Genomic DNA, 9,390 nt, shown 5'->3' on the forward strand with positions numbered 1-9,390 from the left:
TCAGCTAGAAGCCATCCCTGGCTGAGCCCTGCACTGGCCAGAGGCAACTGAGTGTGAGCCAGTCCAGGGTCAGATCCTGGGCTGATGCCACCTGAGGGCGGGGTGGGGGCGTGGCCTCCGTGCACATGGGAGACTCCAGGTGCAGGAGAGGGGGAGGTGGACTTCCTCTTGGTCTTCCCAAGCCATGAAACTTCCTGGCTTGGTGGTAACAGAAGAGTCTCCTCCAGGTAAGATTTCCAGAGCCTCTGAGTATGGCTGGGGTAGCAGGGTTGGGCCTGAGGCTGAGGAGATGGAAATCTGTTGCCGTGAACATTACTCCACACAGCCAGTATACGGGAAGCCAGCTCACTTTATGTCCTCCAAACTCACCCTAACTTCTCGTTTGGGTCTCATCCCGCGGGGCTGCTGGGAAATAAGCTCCGCCACCACAGTGGTTCCTCCGCCCTGTGGGAGTGGGGGGCTCTTATGCTGGAGGGGGGACACTGGCCTGGACTTCTGCTGAGGCTCTGCCCCTCATCCCTGCAGGACGGACTAGCCAGTCCTAACACAGGACTAGCGTTGCTCTACCACGTCCAAGCCTCCTCTGAGATTCTTCCTCCATGCAACCACTTCCCCTGGGGCGTGGCCACCTCCCTGGAAGCCGCCAGCATGCTCGGCTGGGCCCCCGCACTCTGGAGGCTTGAGAATCTCTCTATTTTTGAATGACGTCCTTATCCTCTGCCCCCAGGCTGGTAACCAAAGGTCTGGGGGTGGTGACGTGCTGGGAATGGTGTAACTCGTGAGATGGAGGCTGAATGTGGAAATACATGAATGTGCTTCTCTTCTCTCCAGTTCCCTTGAAGAATCCACCTTCCTGCAGGGTTGGGGGAGCGCAGAATGGGAGGAAGATACAAATACCAATTTTATAGCAAGAATGCAAAAAGAGGCCAGCGCGGTGGCTCGAGCCTGGAATCCCAGCACTTTGGAAGGCGAGCTGGGCGGATCACTTGAGGTCAGGAGTTCGAGACCAGCCTGACCAACATGGAGAAACCTCATCTCTATGAAAAATACAAAAAAAAAAATTAGCCAGGTGTGGTGGCATGCACCTATAATCCTAGCTGAGGCAGGAGAATTGCTTGAACCTGGGAGGCAGAGGTTGCAGTGAGCTGAGATCATGCCACTGCATGCCAGCCTGGGCAACAGAGTGAAACTATCTCAAAAAGTAAAAAAAAAAAAAAAAAAAAATTAAAAAGACAAAATGGTTAAGAACCAGCTTTTTACACCCAAAATGGGAGGTTTGTACCTACAGTCAGACAACAGGTTTGAAAGCCAGGCCTTGTGTGGAGAAGGGAGTTTTGGAATCAGCTAAGCTCAACTGTGATTATGTCACAGCCCATCGCTCATGTTAGAGAGGGTCCCGACTCCCTAGAAGGCGAAAACCCCTCAAAGACCCCAAGCCAGTCCCCAAACAGCACAGAGCTGTGCCACGTGGCACCCCAGCCACCCTTTGAGCAATGCACATGCGTAAGATCTCAGAAGTGACCGGTGACGGTGCAGAGAGGCCCTGAGGGCCAGGCACGGGACAGCAGAAGGAGACACCAAGACAGGCAGGCTCAGGAGCTGGTGCAGGCAGGGCCAAGGTGCCTCAGAGGCTGGCGGTCCAGGCAGACATTTTCAGCAGAGACCACGGGGAAGCGAGGACCTCTCACAGATGTAAGGACACACATCCCCTCCCCACACTGCCACGAAGTCACCGGCCATACTCCCAACCCAGGCACCAGTGTCCATGTGAGAGAGAGGGGCAAGGTGGCGGCGTCCGGGAGAAGCAGCGTTTTACCTGGTGATCCTTTACGTTACTGTAGGACAGCAGATCTACAGGGTTGGACGGACTGAAATTTAAAATCCCCCCCTCCTCTGTTTCCCACTAGATCAAGCCCCTGGAGAAGATCTCCTTCATTAACATGAGGTAAAACACATGAAGAAAGTCTGTGACTTGTGGCAGGGGACAGGGCACAGAGCTTCTGCAGCTCAGAGGAGAGAGCCCTGTGTTCACAGTGGCTCTCACCATGGCCTGGAGTAAAACCAGCACAGCCCCTCTAGCATCCCCGGGTGGACAGGGTCGATGCCTGTGTAGTTATCTCTGGATGTGTAACACATACCCACTGACTCGGCGGCTTACAGTAACACGCAGTTATGGCCTCACAGCTCCTGCGGCCCGGAGTCGGGGCTCAGCCTCGCTGCTCAGGGTCCCACAGGCTGCAGTCAAGACACTGGCCAGGCTGGGGTCTCCTTCTGAGTTCAGGGTCCTCTTCTGAGCCCACATGTTTGTTGGCAGAATTCAGTTCCCTCAGTAGGCTGAGGTCCCCATTCCTGCTGGCGTCAGTGGGCAGCTGCTGTCAGCTCTTCAAGGCCCCTTCACACAGGGCAGCTTGCTTTCTCAAGGCCAGCGAGAGATGCTCTCTGACTTCTAGATCCTCTTTTAAAGGGCCCACCTGATTGGGGCAGACACCCCCAGCACAATCTCCCTTTTGCTCAACTCACAGTCAATGGACAAGGGACCCTAATTACATCTGCAAAATCCCTTCACCTTTACCATGTAATATAACCTGATCTCAGGAGTGACACCATCACAGTCCCAGCCCTGCACACACTCAAGGGGACAGACATGTCCACCAGGGGCTTGGAATCTTGGGGCCCATCCTAGAGTCCGTTGTCCACAGTGCCTGAACCAAAGCTCACACAAGGGAGGCCCCCCCAGCCCAGGTGACTTCACAGCCCACTGGCACACGCGGGCGGGTGGCAGGGGAGCCAGTGCCGAAGCCCGCCTCCTGCTTGGCCAGTGTGGCAAGGCCTGGTGCTCATGCTGATCTCAAGCAACCTGACACCCTCCTCATGAAGGCCCAAGGGTACAGTGAAAGGCCAGAACTCAGATACTTAAGAGGGTCTGGGGGCTCACAGCTTCCCCTCCTGCACAGAGGTCATCTGGGAGCAACCTGCCAGATCCTCCCTCGGGAACCAGTCAGCTCCTCCCAACACCAATTTACTCGCCTCCAAAGTAAGGGGGCTGAGCCAGATGGTTCTAAACCTCCCTCCGCTTCCAGCCTCTGTGACGGATCACTCTATGCACTAAGGGCCATCCAGCGTGAGCAGGAAGCCTGTGGTGCGCTCGTGTAAATCAGAAGGTGCATTCCCATGGGGACATGGGATGGCAAGCTCAGACACAAACCTCTCGTGGAAGGCGGGTCAGGACTCACCGCCCAGACAGTATCCATAATGCCACATAGATGTGGTATCGTGCACAATCATCATTGCTTGTAGTGGAAATGAGGCAAAACGGAACATAAGCAATTTACTTACAGGACCAGAATTAATATTATTTTAACACATACCAATTTTTAAGTTTGTCTCTGGCCATTTTATCAACTTTTCTGTGTTACCATTGACAGGGAGAATATTCGCAATGCCACTTACACAGGCCACGTAGGCAGGCATGCACACATTCTCCTTCCAAAACATGTAAAATTATATCATTGTGGAGCAGGAAGGGCCCCCTGGGGAGGATGTGGCCTGAGTGCCCGCCCAGGGGCTGAAGAATCTCTGCAACTCTCCTGCCACCTGATGTCTCGGGTTCTGCTCAAATATTGACAGTGATGGGATTTCCTCTGAGAGTTTATCCCATGTGGGTTCCTTTCTAGCCAAGTCAGTCCTTTGTAACTTTCCACTCTTTACTGCCCTGGGGTTGCGTGGAGAGCCAGGCCTACTGCTGCATAAACATTTCAGAGATGTTGAAGCAGCTCTCAAGGCTTGCAACAGGCATTGCTAACGGCCTGCCCCAGATCCGTGCCCCCCTTGTTCCTTATGAGGAGATTCCCCACTGTGGTTCAGGTTGTTAGTGCCTCTCCGTATCTTCTTTCTTGCAGATGTGACCAGGTGACCCCCCTCTGGCCAGGGAACAATGGGCCGAAGTCCTCAGGGGATTTGTGGGGAAGCGCGCCCCCTCCTCCTTGGGGTTTTCTTGCGGAGCTGCTGTGAAGACTCAGCTCAGCTGTGATAATTACCTGAGGTCAGCTTCTCCAGAATGCCCTTATCTCCTAAGGCCTTTGAGATAAGCAGGAATTGTGGTGTCTGCCTTGCCTCCAAACCTTTATCCTTGCTTATCTCAGTGGAAAATTCCAGCAGGGATTTCTGAACACCAAGTTAAATTCCTCCACTCAACAATCAGTTTGGCACGTGGCTGCCCGCCAGTCTGGGCAGAACAGAGGGGAGCCAAGGGAATAAACCCAAGTCCTGCCCCCAGGTGCCCAGAGCCTGGCGGGGATGGGACAGTTGCCTGCAGAGCAAGAGGCTGCCACCCAGTTTCACACAGGCCAGAGAGGCTGACCTACCTGCCCAGAGGCAGGGGAAGAATCCAGAGGACCTCTCCCGGAGGAGGCACGAGAAGCCCACGTGGCAGCCAAGAAGAGGGAGAGCATCCTGGGCCCCGGAAGCACAATGCCAGGGGCAGACATGCACTGGGAGGCACGGGGCCAGGGACACCTTCAGTGAGCACAGGGTCTGGGTAGGCTTCGGGAGGGGTGAGGGCGGAGAGGCAGCCAAGCCGGGTTGTGGGAGGCCCTGCCTAATTCTGTAAAGACTAGGATTAGAAACATGACAAAAATGGGTTAGGCACGGTGGCTCACACCTGTTATCCACTTTGGGAGGCTGAGGCTGGTGGATCATCTGAGGCTGGGAGTTCAAGACCAACCTGGCCAACATGGTGAAACCCCGTCTCTACTAAAAATACAAAAATTAGCCGGGCGTGGTGGCGCACACCTATTAATCCCAGGTACTAAGGAGGTTGAGGCAGGAGAATTGCTTCAACCCAGGAGGCAGAGGTTGCAGTGAGCCCAGACCATGCCACTGCACTCCAGCCTGGGCAACAGAACAAGTCTCTGTCTGAAAAATAAAATAAAATAACAAAAATGAAGGGCCGGGTGCAGTGGCTCACACCTGTAATCTCAGCACTTTGGGAGGCCGAGGTGGGAGGATCACTTACACTCAGGAGTTTGAGACCAGCCAGGGCAACATAGTGAGACCCTCATCTCTAAAAAAAAGTTAAAAAATTAGCTGGGCATGGTGGTGCATGCCTGTGGTCCCAGCTACTAGGGAGGCTGAGGCGGGAGGATTGCTTGAGCCTGGGAGGTTGAGACTGCAGTAGGCCATGATCATACCACTGCACTCCAGCCTGGGCAACAGAGCGAGATCTTGTCTCACCAAAAAAAAAAAAAAAAAAAAAAATACACTGCTTTTATTGAGCACCTACTATGTGCCAGGCACTGTGCTAAGTCCTTGGCTTAAAATATCTGATTCAGTCCTCACAGCAACCCTTCAGAGGAGCCCCACCCTGTGACCACACCCTAGAGGGCCCCACACTGGCCTTCCTCTGGCCATGCTCTGGCTTCTAGGTGAGCAGTCCTCCAGGCCAAGGGACAACACTTCTAGATCACACTGCCAGATTCGGGAAGCGCAGAATTGCCCACCCAAGCCCACTTCTGAGGCCTGCAGGGGCCTCTGTTCCGGGTCCACTCCCCAAGAGCAAACCACAGCAGGCCCCACGGCAAAGGCACAGCTGTCAATAGGAAGCATGGCTGGAGGCTGGATGTGTGGGCCAGGCACCCACGTGCTTATCCTGAGCTCCTCCCAGTGTGAGACAGGCCCAGGGAAGGAGGCTGGCTGGGGCTGGGACACCCCATTCTGGCCAAGGAGCCCCAGGGTTCTAAGTGCAACCCTAGGCTTCCAGGCTGTCAGGAACATGTTTCTAGCAAAGTAGCGCGTGGGGCATTGTGTTCAACAAGGCATTTGCTTGGCTTTTTTCATGAATTTATTTATTCACATGGTGCACGGAGTACCATTTGTACTCCTGTCCCAAGCCCTGCAAATGTGAGAGGGGGGATCCCTTATTTTTATCCTATTTTATGAGTGAAGAGTCTGAAGCCCAGACCCACTCCAGGCCACAGAGAGGAGGACAAGGGTAGGAACCCTGTGGTCCGTAGGAGTGAACAGGAGGAACTGATCAGACCTGGATCAGCCTCTGAGGAGGTGCACAGCTTCACGCTACTGCTGTCCCTCGGGGAGGAACCTTAGCTCTTCCTGCAGAGGCCTCGGCGCTTCTCCCAGAAAGGGGGCAGATAAGCTCGGCCATTCTTGCCCTGGGCTGCACAGCCCCTGGCCACTCGCCCCCTAGGACGGATGCTGCTCTAACATTCTCCCAGCCAAAGCTGTCCTTTCTATTAGGGGGTTCCCATGGGCACGCACCTGCACTCTAGCTTCTCTTGTAATTAAATTTAAAAGCACGGCTCCCGGCCCCACACCCCCAGCACCATTTCGCCCTTTAGAGTGGCCTCCGCCCTCGGTCTACACTTCCTCTCTCCTGGGTCTCTCTTGAATCTACTCCACCGGGGCTGTGGCCTCCTTCACTTCACCCAGAAGGCTCCTGGACAGTCACCCAGGGCCTCTGTGTTACCAAACCCTCAGTCCCCGCTGGCATAGCCGTGAGCACCACGCGGCCTGGCTGGCCACCCTCTTGAGCAGGACCCCGAGAGGCTTCTGACAGCCTGTCCTGATGGCCCAGTACCACTGGCTCCCCTCCTCCTCCTCCCAAAACTTCTCAACACTGGGGCAAAAATTCTCAGGCCTGTGCCTCTTCCCTCCTCTTGCTCCCTGCCCCCCTTGGAGATCCACAGATGAAAAACACGGACCGACAGACGATGCTTGGACACAGGCCTCCATCCAGGCCACCCTCCGGCTCCAGAGGCCCAAATCCGCCTCCCTCCCACGAGAGGCATCTCAGATGCACAGGTCCACACTGGCGCTCCTGATGCCCAAAACCTGCCCCACCTGCAGCCCTGCCTCACTTCACGGCAACTTGATCCTTCCAGGCGCTCAGGCCAAAATCCCAGAGTCACCTGTGTCCTCTCCTCCTCACATGTCTCACGTCTAACCCACAGGAAGTTCTTTCAGCTCCACATTCACACGTCACACATCACCAGCCGCTTCTCACTGCTGCCATGTTAGTCCCCCATGCCCCACCTCCACTGTTCCCACCTCGGTCCCCTCTCCGTCCTCCACTGTCCCCACCTCGGTCCCCTCTCCCCTCCCCCACCGTCCCCACCTCCCCACCTCGGTCCCCTCTCCCCTCCCCCACCGTCCCCACCTCCCCACCTCGGTCCCCTCTCCTTCCTCCACTGTCCCCACCTCAGTCCCCTCTCCCTCCCCCATTGTCCCCCCCTTGGTCCCCTCTCCTCTATCCTGGTTCCCTCTCCCCTTCTCCATTTTCCCCATCCTGGTTCCCTCTCCTCTCCTTCATTGCCTCCGTCTTAGCCCACTCCCCTGCTCTCTCTCCCCTGGGTGATGCAGAGCCTTCTGATCAGCCTCCCCGTGCCTGCCTTGTTCTTCTCAACACAGCAGCTGTGTGAGTTTGTTTACAAGCAGAGTCCATGGGCAATGGCACCTAGCATTTCCCATTTCACTCAGAGCAGCAGTTCGGTTTTTAGCGTAGCCTGGAAATCCCTGTAACCCGCCCCCTTCCCTACCCTCATCACCTCTGACTTCTGACCTCATTCTTCTCCTCTCTCCCTGCTCCGTCCCCTCCAGCATCCCTGGCGACGCGCAGGTCATGCTTGGGCCTGACTCTGGGCCTTTGCACCTGCTGTCGCTTCTCCCTGCGAAGGTCCCTGGGAAGTACTTTCCCTGTCTCCCACTGCAGGTCTGTCACTGTGTCCTGTGGCTGCCAGAACATATAACCACCAAGTTAGTGGCTTAAAAGAAAGCGTGCTTACCTTCTAACAGTTTTGGAGAGCACAAATCCAAAATCAAGGCCTTGGGAGGGCTGGTTCTTCTGGGCGCCCTGAGGGAGGAGCCACCCCTGCCTCCCTGTGAGCTTCTGATGCCTGGGCTTACAGATGCACCCTCCAGTCCCTGCCTCCGTCTTCACATGGCTTCTTCCTTGAGTCTCTGCTACTTATAGGAACACTTGCCATAGGATTTAGGACCCACCTGGTTCATCCAGGATAATCTCCTCTTGAGATCTTTAAATCAATTACATCTGCAAAGACTCTTTATTCAAATAAGGTCACATTCCCAGGTACCAGAGGTTAGAGCTTAGACGCATCTTTTTGAGAACCACCATTTGAGGGTCGCCATTCAATCCCCCTACAAAGTCCATGCTGAAAATGTGACCCCCTCCTCCACACCCAGTAAGTTCTTCTCTGACTAACCTACCCAACCACAGCCTGGCTTGATTTTTCTGCATAACACTTATTGGTTTATTGCAGTTTTCCCAACTAGAATATAAATTTCCCAACTACACCTTTAACTGTTTGTTTACTGTTGTAATGCCAGGGTGTTCTGTTTACTGTTATAACCCCAAGTCCTAGGATGAATCTTAGTCCTGGTACATGGTCTTTGAGCCTAAGCGGAGGCCTTTCTGGGGTTTTAATGGAAAACCTGAGGCGCCTACTTGGCAGGAGTTAGACTCCAAATTGTTTCCCTGCAGTGGGCAGCAGCTGAAATCTCTGCTCAGCCTTCAGCCTTACAGGCATTGCTTCCCACTGAGCTGCTTGGAGTCTCACTTGGGTTTTGCAGGGTAGGCTAAAGATTTGAGAATTAATGTGGGCCGGGCACAGTAGCTCACTCCTGTAATCCCAGCACTTTGGGAGGACAAGGCGGGAGGATCACTGGAGTCCAGGAGTTCAAGACCAGCCTGGGCAACACAGCAAGCCCTTGTTTCTACAAAAATAATAAAATAGAATTAATGTGTAATATTTTGGGCCTGTCTCCTTCAAGCTCCCTTCTTTCTAAGACTTCACCCTCAGTTTCCAGCCACTCCAGCAGCCTGAACACCATTCCCTGAGTTCCTGGGCCTTACATTCCAGCCTCCCTGCCCCGAGCAGCCTGGAGAGGGGCCTCGGAGGAAGGTCATCTTAGCGTGAATTTCATCCAGAGCAGTTCCTTTCTTTCAAGGGTCGAGTCCTCTCCATTCTTTGCTTCTTTGGTCAGTTTGCTTCTTTGGCCACTGTCCAGTGTCCTTCAACGGTGCTTTACATCTTATCCAGAGTTGATCATTTTTCTTTGCGGGAGATTAGTTCAATCCATGCTCCTGCAGTTCCTACTAGAACTGGAACTCTCCCGTTTTTTTTAACATTACCTTTAGTGGTTGGCTTGTGCTTCTTTAAAAGCGAAACCACGCTGCCACTGGGCCATGTGGGGCCCTGGGATTTATCCAGGTTAAATGCCGACTTAGAAGTTGGGAGATTGCCTCCATACACAGACTCCTTCACAGCACGTTTTACACATGCACTCAGCCGCTCTGATTAGTAAATCTCCTAAAATAAGTACTGGGCTTATGTTCACTTCCGTTTTGGAAATCAGTGA

At 54.2% G+C, this 9,390-nt stretch overlaps 1 long non-coding RNA gene across 4 annotated transcripts, besides 2 other annotated features; it reads left to right on the forward strand.

Annotated features, from left to right (window-relative positions):
- The first annotated feature begins 119 nt into the window (after positions 1-119).
- RAB17-DT (RAB17 divergent transcript) lies at positions 120-4,945 on the forward strand. 4 transcript variants are annotated; one of them, NR_187201.1, is made up of 3 exons: positions 120-227; positions 832-991; positions 3,900-4,945. It is a non-coding gene; the product is annotated as an RAB17 divergent transcript (long non-coding RNA). The 4 variants fall into 4 exon arrangements; NR_187203.1 differs by lacking the exon at positions 3,900-4,945 and adding an exon at positions 526-731 and having other exon boundaries at positions 832-1,268; NR_187204.1 differs by lacking the exon at positions 3,900-4,945 and having other exon boundaries at positions 832-1,268.
- Positions 4,216-4,934: an enhancer, noted in NCBI's record as "H3K27ac-H3K4me1 hESC enhancer chr2:238503899-238504617 (GRCh37/hg19 assembly coordinates)". NCBI's record gives its function as "activates a minimal SCP1, AML or CMV promoter by ChIP-STARR-seq in naive H9 embryonic stem cells {active_cell/tissue: H9 hESC(naive)}" and the evidence as "EXISTENCE:reporter gene assay evidence [ECO:0000049][PMID:30033119]".
- Positions 5,042-5,543: an enhancer, noted in NCBI's record as "H3K4me1 hESC enhancer chr2:238504725-238505226 (GRCh37/hg19 assembly coordinates)". NCBI's record gives its function as "activates a minimal SCP1, AML or CMV promoter by ChIP-STARR-seq in primed H9 embryonic stem cells {active_cell/tissue: H9 hESC(primed)}" and the evidence as "EXISTENCE:reporter gene assay evidence [ECO:0000049][PMID:30033119]".

The sequence above is a fragment of the Homo sapiens genome, chromosome 2 (assembly GCF_000001405.40).
Source record: "Homo sapiens chromosome 2, GRCh38.p14 Primary Assembly".
NCBI classification, from domain to species: domain Eukaryota; kingdom Metazoa; phylum Chordata; class Mammalia; order Primates; family Hominidae; genus Homo; species Homo sapiens.